Genomic DNA, 25,314 nt, shown 5'->3' with positions numbered 1-25,314 from the left:
TTTCTAACATAGAAAAAGAACAATAAACACCCAAATACTGAAAGATTCAACAAATTCTACATTTTGCCATATTTGCTTTACTAGTTTTTGCCAGCTTCTGTATTAATCGATTTTTCTGTCTACTTATCCATTTTTTTTGTTGTCATTACCTTTTATTTTTAAAAATTTTAACCTTTAATTGTAAATTGGCAAATTATAGTTGTATATATTTATGGCGTACAAAGTGATGTTATGATTCATGAATACACTGTGGGATGATTAAATCAAGCAAATTAACATCTATCACTTTTTTTTTTTTGAGATGGAGTTTCACTCTTGTTGCCCAGGCTGGAGTGCAGTGGTGCAATCTCGGCTCACTGCAACTTCCGCCTCCCGGGTTCAAGTGATTCTTCTGCCTCAGCCTCCCGAGTAGCTGGCATTACAGGCGTCCGCCACCATGCCCGGCTAATTTTTTGTATTTTTAGTAGAGACGGGGTTTCACCATGTTGGCCAGGCTGGTCTCCAACTCCTGACCTCAGGTGATCCACCCACCTCCACCTCCCAAAGTGCTGGGATTACAGACGTGAGCCACTGCACCCGGCCCAACATCTATCACTTTTAAATACTTACTTTTTTTGTGGTGAGAATGTTTGAAATTTACTCTCTACATTCAGAGGAGGGAATATGTTAAAAATGTAAAAAAGATATTTACCCTCAACACTTATGAAATGTCCAAGAATTATTTACTATATTCACTTTGCTGTGCAGTATATCTCAAAGAAAAAGAAAAGCTTATTTTTCCAGTCCAATGAAGCTTTGTAACCTTTAACCATCATATCCCCATTTACCCCAGACCCCCAGCCTCTGGTAACTACTATTCTGCTCTCTCCTCCTTTAAGTTCGATTGTTTTAGATTCCACTTATAAGTGAGAACATACAGTATTTGTCTTTCTGTGCCTGGCTTACTTCACTCAGCATAATGTTCTCCAATTCCATTAACGCTGTCTCAAATGACAAAATTTCTTTTTAAAGGCTGAATAGCATTCCACGGTATATATACCATATTTTCTTTCTTTCTTTCTTTTTTTTTTTTTTTTTTGAGACGGAGTCTTGCTCTGTCACCCAGGTTGGAGTGCACTGGTGCAATCTCAGCTCACTGCAAACTCCGCCTCCCAGGTTGAAGTGATTCTCCTGCCTCAGCCTCCAGAGTAGCTGGGACTACAGGCGCCTGCCACCACGCCCAGCTAATTCTTTTGTACTTTTAGTAGAGATGGGGTTTCACCGTGTTAGCCAGGATGCTCTCGATATCCTGACCTCGTGATCCGCCTGCCTCGACCTCCCAAAGTGCTGGGATTACAGGCTTGAGCCACTGCGCCCGGCCTATATACCATATTTTCTTTATCCATTCATCTGCTGATGAACACTCGTTTGACTATGTAACTTCACTGTGGTTAATAGTGCTGCAGCGAACATGAGAGTGCAGGTATCTCCTCGACATACTGATTTCAAATCTCTTTAGTAAATACCCAGACGCAAGATTGCTGGATCATATGGTAATTCTTTTTTTTTTTTTTGAGATGGAGTTTCACTCTTGTTGCCCAGGCTGGAGTGCGATGGCACGGTCTCAGCTCACTGCAACCTCCGCCTCCCGGGTTCAAGCGGTTCTCCTGCCTCAGCCTCTCAAGTAGCTGGGATTACAGGCGCCCACCACCACGCCCAACTAATTTTTGTATTTTTAGTAGAAATGGGGTTTCACCATATTGGCCAGGCTGGTCTCGAGCTCCCGACTTCAGGTGATCCGCTCACCTTGGCCTCCCAAAATGATGGGATTAGAGGTGTGAGCCACTGTGCCCAGCCCCATATGGTAATTCTATTTTTAGTTTTTTGAGGAACCGCCATACAGTTTTCCATAATAGCTGTACTAATTTACATTCCTACCAACAGTATACAAGTGTTGTCTTTTCTCAACCATTTGAACTTTTTTTTTCTTTTTGAGATGGAGTTTTGCTCTGTCACCCAGGTTGGAGTGCAGTGGTGCAATCTTGGTTCACTGCAACCTCTGCCTCCCGGGTTCAAGTGATTCTCTTGCCTCAGCCTCCCCATTAGCTGGGACTACAGGTGTGCACCACCATGCCTGGCTAATTTTTGTATTTTTAGTGGAGACGAGATTACACCACGTTGGCCAAGGTGGCCTCAAACTCCTGACCTCAGGTGATCCGCCTCCTTCGGCCTCCCAAAGTGCTGGGATTGCACTGCACCCAGCCCTGAACCATTTGAAAGTTGGAGACATCGGCTGGGCATGGTGGCTCATACCTGTAATCCCAGTACTTTGGGAGGCCGAGGTAGGCGGATCACCTGAGGCCAGGAGTTGGAGACCAGCCTGGCCAACATGGTGAAACCCCGTCTCTACTAAAAATACAAAAAATTAGCCGGGCATGGTGGTACATGCCTATGATCCCAGCTACTCAGGACGCTGAGGTGGGAAAATTGCTCAAACCTGGGAGGTGGAGGTTGCAGTGAGCCAAGATAGTGCCACTGCACTCTAGCCTGGGTGACAGAGCAAAACTCCATCTCAAAAAAAAAGAAACTTGCAGACATCATGACCATTCACCCCTAAATACTTCATATACATCTCTTACACAATCATAATAGAATCATCATGTTTAATGAGTTAATAATTTTTAATGTCATCTAGCATTAAACTTCTCCAATTTGAATGCCTTTTATAGCATTTAATTTTTCCTAAGTATAATTACCAAATAAAAATTGTATAGATTTATGGTGTATAGCATGATGTTTTAATATATAGCTTTTAAAAAACTCCCAGAACAGGAACCAATCAAGTTTCAACATTGCATTTTTTTATGTCCTTTTCTCACCCCTTTCTTTTTAATCTACAATCATCCAGTTTTTTTCTTCTTGGAATTGGATCTTTGAGGATACTAGGGCAGTTGTCTTTTAGACTGTTCAACATTCTAGATTTGTCTTACTGTTTCTTTGATGTCACTTAATGTGTTCATCTGTCTCCCTGAGTTTTGAGGGGTTTTCCCCCAATTTCTTGGTTAGATTCAGGTTACCCAGTCTTGGGACTAATTCCTCAAACTTGCTATATATGTCACATTGCCTCACATCAGAAGGCATATGATATGAAGCCATCCCACAAGCAGTGATGCTAAGTATGATTGCTTGGTTAGGATGGACACGGTCAGATCTTTTCTGTAAAGGTTATGTTTCCCTCTTGGCAATTAGCAAGTCGTCTGCATGGTTCTTTGACACTGTGTGTATACGCTGAAAAACTTTCTCTTATCGCCATCTACAGTGATTCTTGCTTGAATTGGTTATTTCATCAGAAATTACAAAAGGTGCTTTTCTAATTCTCCCACTTCTACATTTATAAGGGCATAATTACCTAGGAAGGAGCTTTCTCTCACCAACTGGAAAAAGTAGGGTCCTTCTCAAACTCCTGACCTCAAGTGATCCACCTGCCTCAGCCTCCCAAAGTGCTGGGATTACAGACATGAGCCACAGCGCCCGGCCAAAGTAGGGTCCTTCTAAAAGGCAAGGTAAATGCTTATTTCCCTTTACCAGTTTTCAGAATAAGGTATTGGTATGATATTAATCTCCAAAGGTAGAAAATTTATTTTTTTTCTTTTTTTAAACTATAGATTTAGGGTTTTTATCCATTCAGTATTTCTTTTATTTTTTGAGACAGCATCACGGTCTGTTGCCCAGGCTGGAGTGCAGTGGCGCAATTACCACTCACTGCAGCCTCAACCTGCCAGGCTCAAGTGATCCTCCTACCTCAGCCTCCTGAGTAGCTGGGACCACAGGTGCATGCCACCACACCCAGATGATTTTTGTATTTTTTGTAGAGATGGGGTTTTGCCATGTTGCCTGAGATTAAGTGATCCACCTGCCTTGGCCTCAAAGTGCTGGGACTACACCATGCCAGGTATCCATTTAATATTTCACAATTGGTTACAGTCATTATTTTTTTGTGCTCGAACTGTACCTTATGTGTCCAGTGGGAGCCTTTTTTTTTTTTTTTAATTTGAGATGGAGTCTCACTCTGTCACCAGGCTGGAGTGCAGTGGTACGATCTCGGCTCACTGCAACCTCTGCCTCCTGGGTTCAAGCAATTCTCCTGCCTCAGCCTCCTGAGTAGCTGGGACTACAGGTGCATGCCACCATGGCCAGCTAATTTTTGTATTTTTAGTACAGACGGGGTTTCACCTTATTGGCCAGAATGATCTAGATTGGGAGAGGGCCCCAGTGGGAGCCCTTTTAAGCTAACTCCTACATCCATTCTGACATACCCCAAAAGTTCTGTGAGCACTTGCTTGCTTTTGACACAACTAGATGTCCCAGGCACAATTTTTTTTTACTTTCCCAGCTCCAGATGTGGAATCAGCCATTTTTCTTTTTCTTTTTTCTTTCTTTCTTTCCTTTTTTTTTCTTGAGACAGAGTCTCACTCTGTCACCCAGGCTGAAGTGTAGTGGCATGATCTCAGCTCACTGCAACCTCTGCCTCCAGAGTTCAAGTGATCCTCCCACCTCAGCCTCCTGAGTAACTGGGATTATAGGCATTGCCACTACGCCTGGCTAATTTTTGTACTTTTAGTAGAGATGGGGTTTCATTATGTTGGCCAGGCTGGTCTCAAACTCTTGGCCTCAAGTGATCTGCATCTGCCTGCCTTTAGCCTCCCAAATTGCTGGGATTACAGGCATGAGCCACTGCACTTGGCCAAAATCAGCCATCTTTTTTTTTTTTTTTTTTTTTTTTTGAGGCCGAGTCTTGCTCTGTCGCCCAGGCTGGAATGCAGTGGCGTGATCTCAGCGCACTGCAAGCTCTGTCCCCAGGTTCATGCCATTCTCCTGCCTCAGCCTCCCAAGTAGCTGGGACTACAGGTGCCCACCACCATGCCTGTCTACTTTTTTGTATTTTTAGTAGAGACAGGGTCTCACTGTGTTCGCCAGGATGGTCTCGATCTCCTGACCTTGTGATCTGCCCGCCTCGGCCTCCCAAAGTGCTGGGATTACAGGCGTGAGCCACTGCACCTGGCCAAAATCAGCCATCTTTCTAAGGAACATTGATTCGTTTTAGTGAGGAATGGTCTTTAGTGCTGGGAGAGCTCGTTGCTACAGAGGTGTCATCGCTTTAAGTCACATTTAGGGTTTAAAAAAAATCATGAATTCATATTGGTATTTCCAATTCAAATTGTACATTATAGGTTTTTCCCTCTTCTTGGACTTTGTATTTGTATATCTTTTATCAGGGCAATCGAAAGCCTTGGCTCTTAATACTCTTAATATATTTACCTATTTTTCTCTCCTACAATATACATAAAATCATCTTAAAATTGCATTGGGCCAGGCACAGTGGCTCATGCCTGTAATCCCAGCATTTTGGGAGGCTGAGGCGGGCGTTATCACTTGAGGTCAGTAGTTCGAGACCAGCCTGGCCAACATGGCAAAACCCCGTCCCTACTCAAAATACAAAAATTAGCTGGGTGTGGTGGTGGGCATCTGTAATCCCAGCTACTAGGGAGGCTGAGGCAGGAGAATAGCTTGAACTTGGGAAGTGGAGGTTGCAGTGAGCCAAGATTATGCCACTGCACTCCACTCGGGGTGACAGAGCGAGACTCCATCTCAAACAAACAAAAGAAATCGGCTGGGCATGATGCATTCATCTGTAGTCCCAGCTACTCAGGAGGCTGAGGTGGGTGGATCACTTGAGCCCGAGAGATTGAGGCTGCTGTGAGCTATGATCGTGCCACTGCACTCTAGCCTGGGCAACAGAGCAAGATCTTGTCAAAAAAAAAAAAAAATTGGGAAACAAAATCTTTTAGGGCTTCTGAAGTCACCCCATGAGTAACTGAGTGTGATGAGTGTAGGACTCCTGGTCCCAGCACCTGGTCTTATTTCTGTTTCTCAAACATGTCCTTTCCACCCCAAGACTTTTATCCCTTTTTGTTCCCTGGTCTGGAATACTCTGTCCCACCTACCCGCCACCTGTAGTCTTGCCACATCCAGTCTCTGCTGACATATTCCTCAGAGGGGAATATGTGCCTGATTCCCCTCCTTTCAACCTAGGCAAGGTGAGTTTCTCCTGCATGAGTTCCTCTATGGCCAATGAGCCTCACACAATTGAGTGTCTACCATCCACCCGCCAGCAAGGCCCCAAGACAGCACGTTTTCTTCCCTGTTGATCACTCTATTCTCAGTACCTATAACAGCACTGTATTAGTTAGGGTGTTCCAGAGAGTTAGAACCAATCAGATGAAAGAACTGTTTCATGCTATCATAGGGGTTGGCAAATCCAAAATCTGCAGAGCAGGCAGGCCAGCAGCAAAGAGTTGATGTTACAGCTCAGGTCCAAAGGCGGTGTGGAGGCAGAATTCCCTCTTCCTCAGGGACCTCAGTCTTTTTGTCTTAGGCCTTTGAATGATTGGATGAGGCCCACTCACATTGTGGAGGGCAGTCTGCTTTATTCAAAATGCACCAATTTGAAACATCCAAAATACCCTCACAAAACCATCCACAATGTTTGACCAAATATCTGAATACCATGGCTTAGCCAAGTTGACAAATAAAATTAACCATCACAAGTACCTAGCACAAATGCATAATTTTATGTCTATATGTATATATATTTTCTTATACATACATATGCATGCATACACATATTTATGATTATAAAAAGTATATATATATCTATATATATAGAGAGAGAAATAAAGGAATGATCCATGTACCTTACAAATACACTAGAAACATAAATTCATAGATAGCAGCAGATCTCATTACGATGTTTAATTTTATGTGTCAACTTGTCTGGGCCATGGTGTCCAGATATTTAGTCAAACATTATTCTGGATGTTTCTGTGAAGGTGTTTTTGGATGAGATTTACATTTAAATTGGTGAACTTTAAATGTAATGAGGGTGGGCTTCATCCAATCAGTTGAAGACCTGGTTAGAACAAAAGGCTGTCCTCTCTCTTTTGTTCTGGTCAGAAGTTTCCAGCACACCACCTTTGGACTTGAACTGCAACTCTTTCCTGTGTCTCCAGCCTGCTGGGCTCTCCTATCAGACTTTGGACTCACCAAGCCTCCACAATTTTGTGAACTAATTCCTTAAAATAAGTCACACTCTCTCTTTCTCTCTCTGCAAGTATGTATGTATGTACGTATGTATGTATATTCTATTTCTCTGGAGAACCCTGACTAACTCAGAAAGCAAAAATGCCCTCTATGGCAGGGTGCAGTGGCTCATGCCCGTAATCGTAGCACTTTGGGAGGCCGAGGCGGGCAGATCACCTGAGGTCAGGAGTTCAAGACCAGCCTGGCCAACATAGTGAAACTCCGTCTCTACTGAAAAAAACACACACACACAAAAATTAGCCGGGCATGGTGGCAGGTGCCTATAATCCCAGCTACTCAGGAGGCTGAGGCAGGAGAATCGCTTGAACCTGGGGGGCGGAGGTTGCAGGGAGCCAAAAACGTGCCACTTCACTCCAGCCTGGGTGAGAGAGCGAAACTCCGTCTCAAAAAGAAAACCAAAACCAAAAATGCCGCCAATCACGTCTATGAGATAACCATTGTTTACTGTTTGTTCCGTGTTCCTGTATTCTCTCCCCCAACTTTTTCCTGTTTATATATCAGCAAAGATGGATGGAGGGGAAGATTGAAAAAAATGTTTCTTCCAGTTTATATTGTTCTGCAACTTTTATTATTTATTTATGATGTGCTCATTTTCCCATGTCAATACATATAGATCTTTACAAAATGATACTGTGATATTTCATTGTATATACACAGCCTACTTTAACTATTCTGGTACTCCCCCCACGGCCCCCCCCCCCATTATTCACTAGTAGACATAATGCCTCAAAAAAACATTCTTGGGTGGGTGCCGTGGCTCACATCTCTAATCCCAGCACTTTGGGAGGCTAAGGCGGGCAGATTGCTTGAACCCAGATATTGGAAACCAGCCTGGGCAACATGGTGAAACCCTATCTCTACAAAAAATACAAAAATTAGGCTGGGCGCGGTGGCTCACACCTGTAATCCCAGCACTTTGGGAGGCTGAGGCAGGTGGATCACGAGGTCAGGAGTTCGAGACCAGCCTGGCCAACATGGTGAAACCCTGTCTCTTCTAAAAGTATGAAAATTAGCTGGGTGTGGTGGCATGCGCCTGTAGTCCCAGCTACTCAGGAGGCTGAGGCAGGAGAACTGCTTGAATCCAGGAGGCGGAGGTTGCCATGAGCTGAGATCGTGCCATTGCACTCCAGCCTGGGTGACAGAGCGAGACTCCATCTCAAAAAAAAAAAAAAAATTAGCTGGGTGTGGTGGTGTATGCCTATAGTCCTAGCTATTCGGGAAGCTGAGCGGGGAGGATTGCTTGAGCCTGGGAAGTTGAGGCTTCAATGAGCTGTGATTATGCTACTGTACCATGCCTGGGTGACAGCGAGACCCTGTCTCAGAAAACAAAACAAAACAAAACAAAACAAAAAACAAAAAAACCCCAAAAATTCTTGTACTTACTTTTTTGCACACTAGAGGGAGTGTTTCTATAAATTCCTAGTTGCCATGAATGGAATGTTTGTAGTCCCCTCAAACTGTATGTTGAAGCTCTCTAATTCCCAATGTGATAGTCTTTGGAGGTGGGGCCTGGGCTATAATGAGGTTTGGATAAAGTCATGGGGGCATAATGGGATTGGTGCCCTTATAAAGAGATGAAGAGAGGCTATTGCTCTCCCTGCCACAGCAAGGCGGTGGGATGGGCCGGGTGTGGTGGCTCACGTCTGTAATCCCAGCATCTGGGAGGCCGAGGTGGGAGGACTGCTTCAGCCCAGGAGTTCAAGACCAGCCTGGGCAACATAATGAGACCTCGTCTCTACAAAATTACAAAAATTTAGCTGGGCCTGGTGGCATGCACCTGTAGTCCCAGCTACTCGGGCGGCTGAGGTGGGAAGATCAGTTGAGCCCAGGAGGTTGAGGCTGCAGTGAGCCAAGCTTACACCATTGCACTCCAGCCACCTGGGTGACAGAGAAAACCCTCATCTGTTAAAAAAAAAAAAAAAAAAGAAAGAAAGAAGAAAGAAGGAAGAAAGACAGAGAGAAAGAAAGAAAGAGAAAGAGAAAAAGAAAGAAAGAAAAAGAAGGAAAAGAAAGAAAATGAAGGTGGGACATCTGTGAACTGGGAACAGAAAAAGGACCTTCACCAAGCACCTTAACTGCCAGTGCCTTGATACCTGAACTTCCCAGCCCCATGAACTGTGAAAAATAAACCTCTGTTGTCTATAAGCCATCCAGGCTGTGGTGTTGTTATAGCAGCCCAAACTAACTAAGGCACTAATTTAAGTGGAAATGCTAAATCAAAGGTTATGAAAATGTTTAATATTAATAGGTACTAAATTACTTCCCCCAAAGGTGATAAGTTTACACTCTTATCAACAAGAGGTTAAAACATTGTTTTAAGCTGGGTGCAGTGGCTCATGCCTGTAATCCCAGCATTTTGGGAGGCCAAGGTTGATGGATCACTTGAGATCAGGAGTTCGAGACCAGCCTGGCCAACATGGTGGAACCTCGTCTCTACTAAAAATACAAAAATTAGCCGGGCATGGTGGCGGGCGCCTGTAATCCCAGCTACTCAGGAGGCTGAGGCAGGAGAATCGCTTGAACCCAGGAGGCAGAGGTTTCGGTGGGCTGAGATCGCGCCACTGCACTCCACCCTGGGCGACAGAGTGAGACTCTGTCTAAAAAAAAAAAAAGTTTTAATTTACTTTTACTATATGACTGGAGGGGTTGAAAATAATTTCATATTTATTGTTCAATTGAATTTATTCTTCTGTAAATTACTTATATCACTTATATGGTTTTAACAATATATCTTTTAAAATTAATTTGCAGTTGGTATATGATGGATATTACAATTCTACTGTATATGCTGATACTGTTGTAACCACCCAATTGGTTCATTTTGCCTGCTGCTCAGATAGAGCCAATTTATGAAGACAGGGGAATTGCAATAGAGAAAGAGTTTTATATACATAGAGCCAGTTAAACAGGAGACTGAAGTCTTATTATTACTTATATCAGCCTCCTCTCAAATTTGAAGGCTTTTTCAAGATAGTTTGGGTTGGGCATGGCAGCTTACACCTGTAATCCCAGCACTTTTCGAGTCTGAGGTAGGAGGATTGCTTGAGTCCTTGAGTTTGAGATCAGCCTGGACAACACAGCAAGACACCATCTCTACAAAAAATTTAAAAATTAGCCAGGTGTGGTGGTGTACACCTGTAGTCCCAGTGACTTGGGAGGCTGGGCCAGGGAGGTTGAAGCTGCTGTGAGCCATGATTGCACCACTGCACTACAGCCTGGGCGACAGAGTCTCAAGAAAAAAAGAAAAAAAAAGATAGTTTGCTGGGCAGGTGGCTAGGGAATGGGTGCTGCTGATTGATTGGGATGCAATCATAGGGATGTGGAAAATGGTCCTCGTGCACTGAGTCCACTTCTGAGTGGGGCCATAGGACCGGTCTTGGATCTGGGTGGAGTCATCTGGTTTTCCAAAATGGAAAAGCCTGAGCTGGGCAAGGTGGCTCGTGCCTGTAACCCCAGCAGTTTGGGAGGCTGAGGCAGGAGGATCGCTTGAGTCCAGGAGTTTGAGACCAGCCTGAACAACAGAGCCAGACATCATGTCTACTAAAAATACAAAAACAAAACAAACAAACAAGCAAAAAACACCCCAGAACCAAAAAACAACAAAACTGGCCAGGCATGGTGGCATGCACCTGCAGTCCCAGCTACTTGGAAGGCTGAGGTGGAAGGTTCACTTGAGCCCAGGAGATAGAGACTGCAGTGAGCTATGATCACTGCACTCCAGCCTTGGTGACAGAGCAAGACCTTGTCTCAAAGCAAACAAAACAAAAAATAACTGCAAAGACATCTCAAAAGGCCACAGTGATATCATTTTACAGGACTAATTGGGGAAGTTACAAATCTTGTGACCTCTGAAACAATGGCGGGTAATTGTTTATCTAAGCCTGCATTCAGGCCCCTCTCATCCTCCCTAACCTGGTGGCCTTTCATCATTTTTACAAAGACAGGTTAGTTTTGGGAAGGGCTATTATCATTTAAACTGTAAACGAAATTTCTCCCAAAGTTAGCTTGGCCTTTGCTCAGGAATGACTAAGTGCAATTTGGAGGTTAAAGGCAAGAAGGAGTTGGGTTAGATTGGATATCTTTCAATGTCATAATTTTCTCACTGTTACAATTTTTGCAAGGGTGGTTTCGGTGTTTTCATTTTTTTTTCCTTTGTTAAAGCTATATTGACACCTTCCTTCCATCTCCTCCTTGCATTCCCACAGCACATCCTCCAACAGAAGCCACAGACAACAGAAGAGAGCAGCTTCCCTGTGTGTCCCATACCCACCTCTCCACTTCTGCCACTGGGCATGGACTCCTTTTGATGAACAAGTTCCTCTCACCACGAGCTCACTCTCTTCACACCTAGCTTTAGACCCATGGAAAAAGTCCTGCTGAGTCAAGTCAAGAAGTTCTTCTTCTTTTTTTTTCTTTTTTTGAGACGGAGTTTCACTCTTGTTGCCCAGGGTGGAGTGCACTGGCGCAATCTCGGCTCACTGCAACCTCCGCGGCCCGAGTTCAGGTGATTCTCCTGCCTCAAGCTCCTGAGTAGCTGGGATTACAGGTGCCTGCCACCACGCCTGGCTAATTTTTTGTATTTTTAGTAGAGACGTTGTTTCACCATGTTGGCCAGGCTGGTCTCAAACTCCTGACCTCAGGTGATCCAACCGCCTCGGTCTCCGAAGTGTTTGGATTACGGGCGTGAGCCACCGCGCCGGGCCAAGTTCTTCCTGAGGACCCAAACCCTAGACACTCAAACCAGTGGTCTCTCTGTCTCTTCTGCACCCACTCCCACCATCGTGCCCTGGACCTCAACAGGGGTTATGCTGGGTGAGAGGCTGCTAGATGTTTAGAGACACTGAAATCCAGGGCATGACTGTGGCCAGGAAGAAAACAAGGGCAAGAGAAAGATGCTAGAGATAAACTTCCTTTTTCTTTATTCTTCCTAAGGATGAGTCCAGCAGCCAGGTCCTGGGTGACTTTGTCCATTTAGGCACATAAAAAATGGACCAACATGGAAATGTTCACACACTCCCTTATTAGATGAGTTAGGTTCACACAGAAAAAAACAAAAAAAGTTTCCTAAAAATTGTCACCACTATGATGATGCACTTGTTCTGTGTTTTTGTTTTCTTGTTTTATTTTGATTCTTTTCTTTTTTTTTTTAAGAGACAGGATCTCACTATGTTGCCCAGACTGGTCCCACACTTCTGGGCTGAAGTGATCCTGCCTGTTTCCCAAAGTTCTGAGATTACAGGTGTGAGCCACCAACCATGCCTGGCTTTTTTTTTTTTTTTTTTTTTTTTTTTTTTTTTTTTTGAGACGGAGTCTTGCTCTGTCGCCCAGGCTGGAGTGCAGTGGCACAATCTAGGCTCACTGCAAGCTCCGCCTCCTGGGTTCACGCCATTCTCCTGCCTTAGCCTCCTGAGTAGCTGGGACTACAGGCGTCCACCACCACGCCAGGCTAGTTTTTCATATTTTTAGTAGAGACGGGGTTTCACTGTGTTAGCCAGGATGGTCTCGATCTCCTGACCTCGTGATCCGTCCGCCTCGGCCTCCCAAAGTGCTGGGATTACAGGCGTGAGCCACCGCGCCCGGCCATCTTAATTCTTTTATGGACAGTGTGAAGTAGACATTTTAACTCCATGGTAGAGGTGAGAAAACTGAGGCTTAGTAGCAATGCTTTAATTGGAAACATTTATTCACAAATAGATAAGACTCTAAAAAGAAAAAAAAAGTGATTCATGCGATTAGTCCCCACTTCTCAGGGAAAACCCTACAAAACACCCGAGCTGCTGGCTACAAATGTCATGGGTTTATTTAATTTTCCACGTGGTTGTTTCTCCCTGGCCAGTGAACATTTCATTTAGCAGGGAGGCTGGATCTGGCCTGCCATCTGGCTTTCGTGGTGCACTTTAGACTCTGGAGTTTGACAACAGCTGTTGCACAACCATGCCAGGAGGCCACCAGTCTTGGGACAATGGTTTCTCATTAGTTTGCATAAGGTAGAACAGAAATAGTAGCTGAGGGAAAACAAAAACTTTAAATAATTTAGGGATGGGATTTTCCTGGATGAGTCACATTTTAATGAGTATATCAATGATTCATTATGTATGAATGTTATGATGTGTGCAGAAGTTATTTCTTTTTTTTTTCTTTCTTTTTTTTTTTTTTTGAGACGGGGTTTCGCTCTGTTGCCCAGGCTGTAGTGCAGTGGCGTGATCTCGGCTCACTGCAAGGTTCACACCATTCTCCTGCCTCAGCCTTCCAAGTAGCTGGGACTACAGGTGCCTGCCACCGCACCTGGCTAATTTTTTTTGTATTTTTAATAGAGACGGGGCTTCACCGTGTTAGCCAGGATGGTCTCCATCTCCTGATCTCGTGATCCGCCCGCCTCAGACTCCCAAAGTGCTGGTATTACAGGCGTGAGCCACCGCGCCTGGTCTATGCACAAGTTATTTTTATCAGCTCTAACTGTCCTTAAGACCAAGTATCAACATGAACTCAACATAGAACCAGACCATCAAATGTCTGCATTACAAATTGTTAAAGCATCATTTTCAAAAATAATTAAGCATAATTAGTCATATTGCTCTCACTTGAAAGTATATAATTAATAATGTTATAAGGGCAAAATATTCTTTTTTCTTTTTCTTTTCTTTTCTTTTTTTTTCTTTTTTGAGACACAGTCTCACTCTGTCGCCTAGGCTGGAGTGCAGTGGTGCGATCTCGGCTCACTGCAACCTCCGCCTCCCGGGTTCAAGCGATTCTTGTGCCTTAGTCTCCCGAGTAGCTGGGATTACAGGCACCCGCCACTACGCCCAGCTAATTTTTTGTATTTTTAGTAGAGACAGGGTTTCACCATGTTGGCCAGGCTGGTCTTGAACTCCTGACCTCGTGATCTGCCCGCCTCGGCCTGCCAAAGTGCTAGGATTACAGGCGTCAGCCACCGCGCCCAGCCCTATTATTTGTATTTTGAATAAAAATTGTTATTTAAATTATTTTTCTTTATCATATCTTCTAAAATTTCTAATTAAAACACTTTATAATGTGCATAATGTATTGCTACAAAGCAACATACAGTTTAAAAAGTAGGGAAGATTTTTTTTATTTTTTATTTTATTATACTTTAAGATCTGGGGTACATGTGCACAACATGCATGTTTGTTACATAGGTATACCTGTGCCATGGTGGTTTGCTGCACCCATCAACTGGTGATTTACATTAGGTAGTTCTCCTAATGCTATCCCTTCCCTAACCCCCAACCCCCCCACAGGCCTCGGTGTGTGATGTTCCCTGCCCTGTGTCTGTGTATTCTCATTGTTCAACTCCCACTTATGAGTGAGAACATGTAGTGTTTGGTTTTCTGTCCTTGTGATAGTTTGCTGAGAATGATGGTTTCCAGCTTCATCCATGTCCCTGCAAAGGACATGAACTCATCCTTTTTTATGGCTGCATAGTATTCCACGGTGTATATGTGCCACATTTTCTTAATCCAGTCTATCATTGATGGACATCTGGGTTGGTTCCAAGTCTTTGCTACTGTGACTAGTGCCGCAATAAACATACATGTGCATGTGTCCTTATCATGATTTATAATCCTTTGGGTATATACCCAGTAATGGGATGGCTGGGTCAAATGGTATTTCTAGTTCTAGATCCTTGAGGAATCGCTGCATTGTCTTCCACAATGGTTGAACTGATTTACACTCCCACCAACAGTGTAAAAGTGTTCTTATTTCTCCACATCCTCTCCAGCATCTGTTGTTTCCTGACTTTTTAATGATCACCATTCTAACTGGCGTGAGATGGCATCTCATTGTGGTTTTGATTTGCATTTCTCTGGTGACCAGTGATGATGAGCATTTTTTCATATGTCTTTTGGCTGCATAAATGTCTTCTTTTGAGAAGTGTCTGTTCATATCCTTCGCCCACTTGTTGATGGGGTTGTTTGATTTTTTTGTTGTAAATTTGTTTAAGTTCTTTGTAGCTTCTGGATATTAGCCCTTTGCCAGATGGGTAGATTGCAAAATTTTTCCCCATTCTGTAGGTTGCCTGTTCACTGTGATGATAGTTTCTTTTGCTGTGCAGAAGCTCTTTAGTTTAATTAGATCCCATTTGTCTATTTTGGCTTTTGTTGCCATTGCTTTTGGTGTTTTAGTCATGAAGCATTTATCCATGCCTATGTCCTGAATAGTATTGCCTAGGTTTTCTTCTAGGGTTTTTATGGTTTTAGGTCTTATGTTTAAGTCTTTAATACATCTTGAGTTAATTTTTGTATAAAGTGTAAGGAAGGGATCCTGTTTCAGCTTTCTACATATGGCTAGCCAGTTTTCCCAGCACCATTTATTAAACAGGAAATCCTTTCCCCATGCTTGTTTTTGTCAGGTTTGTCAAAGATCAGATGGTTGTAGATGTGTGGTGTTATTTCTGCGGCCTCTGTTCTGTTCCATTTGTCTATATATCTGTTTTGGTACCACTACCATGCTGTTTTGGTTACTGTAGTCTTGTACTATAGTTTGAAGTCAGGTAGCGTGCTGCCTCCAGCTTTGTTCTTTTTGCTTAGGATTGTCTTGGCAATGTGGGCTCTTTTTTTGTTCCATATGAACTTTAAAGTAGTTTTTTCCAATTCTGTGAAGAAAGTCATTGGTAGCTTGATGGGGATGGCATTGAATCTATAAATTACCTTGGGCAGTATGGCCATTTTCACGATATTGATTCTTCCTATCCATGAGCATAGAATGTTCTTCCGTTTGTTTGTCCTCTTTTATTTTGTTGAGCAGTGGTTTGTAGTTCTCCTTGAAGAGGTCCTTCACATCCCTTGTAAGTTGGATTCCTAGGTATTTTATTTTCTTTGTAGTAATTGTGAATGGGAGTCCATTCATGATTTGGCTCTCTGTTTGTCTGTTATTGGTATATAGGAATACTTGTGATTTTTGTGCAATGATTTTGTGTCCTGAGACTTTGCTGAAGTTGCTTATCAGCTTAAGGAGATTTTGGGCTGAGATGATGGTGTTTTCTAAATATACAGTCATGTCATCTGCAAACAGAGACAATTTGACTTCCTCTTTTCCTAATTGAATACCCTTTATTTCTTTCTCTTGCTTGATTGCCCTGGCCAGAACTTCCACCACTATGTTGACTAGGAGTGGTGAGAGAGGGCATCCTTGTCTTGTGCCAATTTTCAAAGGGAATGCTTCCAGTTTTTGCCCATTCAGTATGATATTGACTGTGGGTTTGTCATAAATAGCTCTTATTATTTTGAAATATGTCATCAATACATAGTTTATTGAGAGTTTTTAGCATGAAGGGTTGTTGAATTTTTGTCGAAGGCCTTTTCTACATCTATTGAGATAATCATGTGGTTTTTGTCGTTGGTTCTGTTTATGTGATGGATTACATTTATTGATTTGCATATGTTGAACCAGCCTTGAATCCCAGGGATGAAGCCGGCTTGATCATGGTGGATAAGCTTTTTGATGTGCTGCTGGATTTCGTTTGCCAGTATTTTATTGAGGATTTTTGCATTGATGTTCATCAGGGATATTGGCTTAAATTTTCTTTTTTTGTTGTGTCTCTGCCAGGCTTTGGTATCAGGATGATGCTGTTCTCATGAAATGAGTTAGGGAGGATTCTCTCTTTTTCTATTGATTGGAATAGTTTCCGAAGGAATGGTACCAACTCCTCTTTGTACCTCCAGTAGAATTTGGCTGTGAATCCGTCTGGTCCTGGACTTTTTTTGGTTGGTAGGCTATTAATTATTGCCTCAATTTCAGAGCCTGTTATTGGTCTATTCAGGGATTCAACTTCTTCCTGGTTTAGTCTTGGGAGGGTGTATGTGTCCAGGAATTTATTCATTTCTTCTAGATTTTCTAGTTTATTCGTGTAGAGGTGTTTATAGTATTCCTGATGGTAGTTTGTATTTCTGAGGGATTGGTGGTGATGTCCCCTTTATCATTTTTTATTGTGTCTATTTGATTCTTCTCTCTTTTCTTCTTTATTAGTCTTGCTAGCAGTCTATCAATTTTGTTGATCTTTTCAAAAAACCAGCTCCTAGATTCACTGATTTTTTGGAAGGGTTTTTTGTGTCTCTATCTCCATCAGTTCTGCTCTGATCTTAGTAATTTCTTGCCTTCTGCTAGCTTTTGAATGTGTTTGCTCTTGCTTCTCTAGTTCTTTTAATTGTGATGTTAGGGTGTTGATTTTAGATCTTTCCTGCTTTCTCTTGTGGGCATTTAGTGCTCTAAATTTCCCTCTACACACTGCTTTAAATGTGTCCCAGAGATTCTGGTATGTTGTGTCTTTGTTCTCATTGGTTTCAAACAACATCTTTATTTCTGCCTTCATTTCATTATTTACCCAGTAGTCATTCAGGAGCAGGTAGTTCAATTTCCATGTAGTTGTGCAGTTTTGAGTGAATCTTAATCCTGAGTTCTAATTTGATTGCACTGTGGTCTGACAGACAGTTTGTTGTGATTTCTGTTCTTTTATATTTGCTGAGGAGTGTTTTACTTCCAATTATGTGGTCAATTTTAGAATAAGCGTGATGTGGTGCTGAGAAGAATGTATATTCTGTTGATTTGGGGTGGAGAGTTCTGTAGATGTCTATTCGGTCCCCTTGGTCCAGAGCTGAGTTCAAGTCCTGGATATGCTTGTTAACCTTCTGTCTCATTGATCTGTCTAATATTGACAGTGGGGTATTAAAGTCTCCCATTATTACTGTGTGGGAGTCTAAATCTCTTTGTAGGTCTCCAAGGACTTGCTTTATGAATCTGGGTGCTCCTGTTTGGGGTGCATATGTATTTAGGATAGTTAGTTCTTCTTATTGAATTGATCCCTTTACCATTATGTAATGCCCTTCTTTCTCTCTTTTGATCTTTGTTGGTTTGAAATCTTTTTTTTTTTTTTTAGTCAGAAACGAGGATTGCAACCCCTGATTTTTTTTTTGCTTTCCATTTGCTCGGTAGATCTTCCTCCATCCCTTTATTTTGAGCCTATTTGTATCTTTGCACATGAAATGGGTCTCCTGAATACAGTACAACGATGGGTCTTGACTTTTTATCCAATTTGTCAGTCTGTTTTTCAGTTGGGGCATTTAGCCTATTTACATTTAAGATTAATATTGTTATGGGTGAATTTGATCCTGTCACTATGATGTTAGCTGGTTATTTTGCCCATTAATTGATGCAGTTTCTTCATAGTGTCAATGGTCTTTACACTTTGGCATGTTTTTGCAGTGGCAGTGGCTGATACCAGTTGTTCCTTTCCATGGTTAGTGCTTCCTTCAGGAGCTCTTGTAAAGCAGGCCTGGTGGTGACAAAATCTCTCAACATTTGCTTGTCTGTAAAGGATTTTATTTCTCCTTCACTTATGAAGCTTAGTTTGGCTGGATATGAAATTCTGGTTTGAAAATTCTTTTCTTAAAAATGTTGAATATTGGCCCCCACTCTCTTCTGGCTTGTAAGGTTTCTGCTGAGAGATCCGCTGTTAGTCTGATGGGCTCCCCTTTGTGGGTGACCCGACCTTTCTCTCTGGCTGCCCTTAACATTTTTTCCTTCATTTCATCCTTGGTGAATCTGACAATTGTGTGTCTTGGAGTTGCTCTTCTTAAGAAGTATCTTTGTGGTGTTCTTTGTATTTCCTAAATTTGAATGTTTTCCTGCCTTGCTAGGTTAGGGAAGTCCTCCTGGATAACATCCTGAAGAGTATTTTGTAACTTGGTTCCATTCTCCCCGTCACTTTCAGGTACACCAGTCAAATGTAGATTTGGTCTTTTCACATAGTCCCATATTTCTTGGAGGCTTTGTTCATTTCTTTTCATTCTTTTTTCTCTAATCTTGTCTTCTTGCTCTATTTCATTGAGTTGATCTTCAATCACTGATACCCTTTCTTCCACTTGATTGAATCAGCTACTGAAGCTTGTGCATGAGTCATGTAGTTCTCGTGCCATGGGTTTCAGCTCCATCAGGTCATTTAAGGTCTTCTCTATACCGTTTATTCTAGTTAGCCATTTGTCTAACCTTTTTTCAAGGTTTTCAGCTTCCTTGCGATGGGTTTGAACATCCTCCTTTAGCTCGCAGAAGTTTGTTACCAACCTTCTGAAGCCTACTTCTGTCAACTTGTCAAACTCATTCTCCATCCAGTTTTGTTCCCTTGCTGGTGAGGAGCTGTGATCCTTTGGAGGAGAAGAGGCAATCTGGTTTTTGGAATTTTCAGCTTTTCTGCTCTGGTTTCTTCCCATCTTTGTGGTTTTTTCTACCTTTGGTCTTTGATGTTGGTGACCTACAGATGGGGTTTTGGTGTGGATGTCCTTTTTGTTGGTGTTGATGCTATTCCTTTCTGTTTGTTAGTTTTCCTTCTAACAGTCAGGACCCTCAGCTGCAGGTCTGTTGGAATTTGCTGGAGGTCCACTCCAGACCCTGTTTGCCTGGATATCACTAGCGGAGGCTGCAGAACAGCAAATATTGCTGCCTGATCCTTCCTCTGGAAGCTTTGTTCCAGAGGGGCACCTGCCTGTGTGAGGTGTCTGTTGGCCCCTACTGGGAGGTGTCTCCCAGTCAGGGTACACGGGGGTCAAGGACCGACTTGAGGAGGCAGTCTGTCCATTTTCGGAGCTCAAATGCCATGCTGGGAGAACCACTGCTCTCTTCAGAACTGTCAGACAGGGGCGTTTAGGTCTGCCAAAGCTGTCTGCTGCCTTTTGTTCTGACATGCCCTGCCCACAGAGGTGGAATCTAGAGAGGCAGTAGGCCTTGCTGAGCTGCAGTGGGCTCCACCCAGTTCAAGCTTCCCGGCCTGTTTACACTGTGAGCATAAAACTGCCTACTCAAGCCTCAGGAATGGCGGACGCCCTCCCACCCCCCCAACAAGCTGCAGCATGCCAGGCCAATCTTAAGACTGCTGCACTGGCAGTAAGCAAGGATCCATGGGCATGAGCCCCACCGAGCCAGGCACGGGAGGGAATCTCCTGGTCTGTCAGTTGTGAAGACCATGGGAAAAGCCCAGTATTTGGGCAGGAGTGTACTGTTCCTCCAGGTACAGTCTGTCACGGCTTCCCTTGGCTAGGAAAGGGAAATCCCCTGACCCCTTGCACTTCCCAGGTGAGGCGATGCCCTGCCCTGCTTTGGCTCGCCCTCCATGGGCTGCACCCACTGTCCAACTAGTCCCAATGAGATGAACCAGGTACCTCAGCTGGAAATGCAGAAATCACCCATCTTCTGTGTTGGTCTTGCTGAGAGCTGCAGACCGGAGCTGTTCCTATTCCAGCAAGATGCTTTTAAAACCTTAGAGATGATGGATCCCAGACACCAAGCTTCTGGCTGTGGCTTGGCCTTTCTAAGTATTCAACAAGTCTGTCTTTTCCAAGTGTCTTTAAAGACCAGAAATACCTGTTTTTAACACACAGGGTTGCAAAATTCAGAGGAGATTGGCGAGCATCCCTCTTGTCTGCCCCACATGTGTTTCTTTGCCAGAGGCCACCGTGGCGAGCAGGGGCCTGTGACTGCCCCAACCAAAATTTTGGAAAGTCATTCTGGCGCTACCAGATGCCCCGAGGTTCCCAGGTTGGAGTCTTTCTCTCCCACTGGGTTTCTCCTGCAACTCTTCCCAGCCCACTGGCCCCACTGCCAGAGCACACAGGAGTCCGGACACACACCGCGGGACAGCCTGACTCGCTACTGCTCTCTGCACGTGCTATATGAGAGGGTTCTTTTGAGAACAGAAAATGCAGTGACTGAGCAGGAAAGGGTGAAGGAGGAAAACCAGAGGTCGCATGCAGCCAACCAGGCATTACAAAAATGCCTTCTGGAAAAGTGCACTTGGAGTTGGTTTCCAGAGAAAATGAAAAGTCCCTCCAGAGAAATGTAAAGGCCAGAGAAACGAAGACTCAGAGAATGAAAAGGCCAACCCTGCTCATCCAGTAGCCCAGGGCTAGCCCAGACAGACCCATTCTCTTGTTGGGCTTATGACTCTGGGTGAGTCTTGGTTTCTTTCTCACCCCAAAGCCAATGTTAAACCTACAAATGAAAAAGAACACTTAAAAGGATGATCTGGGCCAGGTTCAGTGGCTCACGCCTGTTATCCCAGCACTTTGGGAGGCTGAAGCGGGTGGATCTCTGGAGGTCAGGAGTTTGAGACCAGCCTGGCCAACCTGACAAAACTCTGTCTCTACTAAAAATACAAAAGTTAGCCAGGAGTGGTGGCGGGTACCTGTAATCCCAGCTACTTGGGAGGCTGAGGCTGGAGAATCACTTGAACCCAGCAGGCAGAGGTTGTAGTGAGCTGAGATCTGCCACTGCACTCCAGCCTGGGCAACAAGGGTGAAACTCTGTCTCGAAAAAAAAAAAAAAAGGATGATCAGCAACTTGGCAAATCGTAGCCATGTTTGTTAAGTGGAGGAAAAGTATTAAACATATTATGAAAACAGAAATGGTAGTCATGTCAAACAAACAAACATTACATATGTAGGGAAAAAGATTGGCAACAAATACACAAAAAATAAAGTTCTGTTTTGATATTCTGAATTTGAGTGGTTCCCCACACCCTCTACAATTTCCAAGTTTTATGAAACATGTTGTCTCCTTTAATTAAGGCAGCAGTAACCTCTACGCACGTGATCCCCACTGCACTCTAAAACTTCCAATTAGGCCGGGCGTGGTGGCTCATTCCTGTAATCCCAGCACTGTGGGAGGCCTAGGTGGAGAGGATCACTTGAGTCCAGGAGTTGGAGACCAGCCTGGGCAACATGCTGAAACCGTCTCTACAATAAATACAAAAATTAGTGGGGCATGGTGGCACACACCTGTAGTTCCAGCTACTTGGGAGACTGAGACGAGAGGATTGCTTGACTCTGGGAGATCCAGGTTGTAGTGAACCAAGATCATGCTGTGTCCGGAATTGTTGGGTTCTTAGTCTCGCTGACTTCAAGAATGAAGCCGTGTACCCTCGCGGTGAGTGTTACAGTTCTTAAAGATGGTGTGTCCAGAGTTTGTTCCTTCAGATGTTCAGATGTGTCCAGAGTTTCTTCCTTCTGGTGGGTTCATGGTCTCACTGACTTCAGGAGTGAAGCTGCAGACTTCCGCGGTGAGTGTTATAGCCCTTAAAGGTGGCATATCTGGAGTTGTTCGTTCCTTCTGGTGGGTTCGTGGTCTTGCTGGCCTCAGGAGTGAAGCTGCAGACCTTCACAGTGAGTGCTACAGTTCATAAAGGTGGTGCACCCGAAGTTGTTTGTTCCTCCCGTCTGGAGTTGTTTATCCCTCCCAGTGGGTTTGTGGTCTCGCTGGCTTAAGGAGTGAAGCTGCAGACCTTCACAGTGAGTGTTAACAGTTCATAAAAGCAGCGTAGACGCAAAGAGTGAGGAGCACTAAGATTTACTGCAAAAAGCAAAAGAACAAAGCAGCTTTTACGGTGTGGAAGAGGACCCGAGCACGTTGCCGCCGCTGGCTTGGGTGGCCTGCTTTTATTCCCCCATCCGGCCCCACCCACATCCTGCTGATTGTTCTATTTTACAGAGAGCTGATTGGTCCATTTTACGGAGAGCTGATTGGTTCATTTTACAGAAAGCTGATTGGTCCGTTTTGACAGAGTGCTTATTGGTGTGTTTACAATCCTTTAGCTAGACACAGAGTGCTGATTGGTGAGTTTACAATCCTTTAGCTAGACACAAAAGTTCTCTAAATCCCCACCAGATTAGCTAGACACAGAGTGGTGATTGGTGCATTTACAAACTTTTAGCTAGACACAGAGTGCTGATTGGTGCGTTTACAATCCTTTACCTAGACACAGAGTGCTGATTGGTGTGTTTACAATCCTTTAGCTAGACACAGAGTGCTGATTGGTGCATTTACAATCCTTTAGCTAGACACAAAAGTTCTCCAAGTCCCCACCAGACCCAGAAGCCCAGCTGGCTTCACCTCTCAATGGCACTCCCGGGACTTTGCCGCGCCTAGTGGGGCACTCCGGCAGCCCAGAGGGCGCTCCTCCCCCACCCCCCCATCAAGCCCAGCAGGCGACGCCAACCTTGCCCCCAGTGCAGGGCCTGCCTAGCCCGCACCCACCCGGAACACCACTGGCCCGGGAGCACCACGCGCAGCCCCTGTTCCCACTGGCGTCTCTCCCTCCACACCTCCCCCCAAGCAGAGGGAGACGGCTCCGGCCTCAGCCAGCCCCAGAGAGGGGCCCCCACAGCACAGCAGTGGGCTGAAGGGCTCCTCGAGCCCGGCCAGAGCAGACACCGAGGCCGAGGAGGCGCCAAGAGCAAGCAAGGGCTGCTAGCAGGTTGTCACCTCTCAATGCCACTGCACTCTAGCCTGAGTAACAGAGCAGATCTGGTGTCAAAAAATAAAATAAAAAATAAAGAACGAGACCAGGCACGGTGGCTCACGCCTGTAATCCCAGCACTTTGGGAGGCTGAGGTGGGCAGATCACGAGCTCAGGAGTTTGAGACCACCCTGGCCAACATGGCAAAACCTTGTCTCTACTAAAAGTACAAAAATTAACTGGGCATGGTGGTGGGTGCTTGTATTCCCAGCTACTCAGGAGGCTGAGGCAGGAGAATCACTTGCATCTGGGAGGCAGAGGTTGCAGTGAACCCAGATCGCGCCACTGCACTCTAGCCTGGGCAACAAGAGTGCAACTTCGTCTCAAAAAAATAAATAAAGAAAAATAAAATGAAACCTCCAATTAAAAGGAGAAATTCAACCAGGTGCAGTGGCTCACGCCTGTATCCCAACACTTTGGGAGGCCAAGGTGGGTGGATCGCTTGAGGTCAGGAGTTCGAGACCAGCCTGACCAACATGGTGAAACCCCATCTCTACTAAAAATACAAAAAATTAGCTGGATGTGGTGGTGCACACCTGTAGTCCCAGCTACTCGGGAGGCTGAGGCAGGAGAATTGTTTAAACTTGGGGCGTGGAGGTAGCAGTGAGCCGAGATCACGCCATTGCATTCCAGCTTGGGTGACAGAGCGAGACTCAGTCACAAATAAATAAATAAATAAATAGGCCAGGTGCGGTGGCTCACGCCTGTAATTCCAGCACTTTGGGAGGCCGAGGTGGGCGGATCACCTGAGGTCAGGAGTTCGAGACCAGCCTGCCCAACATGGTGAAACCCCATGTCTACTAAAAATACACACACAGACACAAAATAGCCAAAATTAGCCAAAAAATTATAAATAAATAAAATAAAAAGATAAGTTGCACACTCAGGAGGCTGAGGCAGGAGACTCGCTTGAACCCAGGAGGTGGAGGCTGCAGTGAGCCGAGACCACGCCATTTCACTCCAGTCTGGGCGACAAAGCAAGACTCTGTCTCAAAAAAAAAAAAAAGACAAATTCAGCAGAAGCATTGCTTGAGTAACACGGAAACTCAGAACCAGGAAACTGAAGGCGGTTACTCCACATACATCTGGGGCAATAAGTGAGCTGTTCCAGCGCGGCTTACGCTGTGGGCGGAGGCGGGCAGGAAATTCACTTACAAGTCTGTGCCAGGAAACAGGAAGAAGGTGCCTCCTGTGATACAAGATACAGACGTAGTCTCCTATCCAGGAAACAGGGACAGAGCCGCAGACCAGATAAAGATACGACCAACATTTTTCATTAAATATTCTCAACGGATTATTTACATTTTTTCTAGAAAAGTAAAATTTAAACCTGAATACATTTGATAACTATGGAATGTGAGCATTCACGTATGCTTGTGACCTGGTTCCTCTACGCTTCAGGGGTCGCCCTGGTCCCAAAGCGCTTCCTGCCGCTCCCACTTCCTCTGTTTTCACCGGAGGGGCAGCCACAGTTCTCGGCTGAGAGAAACTCGGTCGTTCTGTTTACCTCGTGAATGATTGGCTACAGATCCCAGAGAGGAAATAGGGACCCACCCCTCAGTTGTTATGCAATCTGGGGCGGAGTCCGGGGTCCATAGCCTTTCTGAGGGTAACCTGAGCGGGAGAAGTTGTTGCGCCTGATCTCAAACAGCCTTTCGCACGGAAAAGGATTCCTAAAAGTGGGGTTACTCCTCCACAGCAATAGCGTCCTTAAAATAGGGGCTCCCGGCTGGGCGCGGTGGCTCACCCCTGTAATCCCAGCACTTGAGAGGCCAAGACAGGCGGATCACCTGAGGTTGGGAGTTCGAGACCAGCCTGAACAACATGGAGAAACCCCCTCTCTACTAAAAATACAAAATTAGCCGGGTGTGGTG

General features: G+C 44.6%; 1 long non-coding RNA gene across 1 annotated transcript, besides 1 other annotated feature; it reads right to left on the bottom strand.

Annotated features, from left to right (window-relative positions):
* Positions 1-21,626: 21,626 nt before the first annotated feature.
* On the bottom strand, positions 21,627-24,941 carry LINC02569 (long intergenic non-protein coding RNA 2569). Its single transcript, NR_149088.1, has 2 exons — positions 24,596-24,941; positions 21,627-22,494 (listed from the first exon to the last, which is right to left on the bottom strand). It is a non-coding gene; the product is annotated as a long intergenic non-protein coding RNA 2569 (long non-coding RNA).
* Positions 22,758-23,257: an enhancer, noted in NCBI's record as "H3K4me1 hESC enhancer chr6:30485727-30486226 (GRCh37/hg19 assembly coordinates)". NCBI's record gives its function as "activates a minimal SCP1, AML or CMV promoter by ChIP-STARR-seq in primed H9 embryonic stem cells {active_cell/tissue: H9 hESC(primed)}" and the evidence as "EXISTENCE:reporter gene assay evidence [ECO:0000049][PMID:30033119]".
* Positions 24,942-25,314: the final 373 nt, after the last annotated feature.

This window comes from Homo sapiens, chromosome 6 (genome assembly GCF_000001405.40).
Source record: "Homo sapiens chromosome 6, GRCh38.p14 Primary Assembly".
In the NCBI taxonomy this organism is placed as follows: domain Eukaryota; kingdom Metazoa; phylum Chordata; class Mammalia; order Primates; family Hominidae; genus Homo; species Homo sapiens.
The sequence above is the reverse complement of the archived record's forward strand: the minus strand, read 5'-3'. Positions and strand labels throughout refer to the sequence as shown.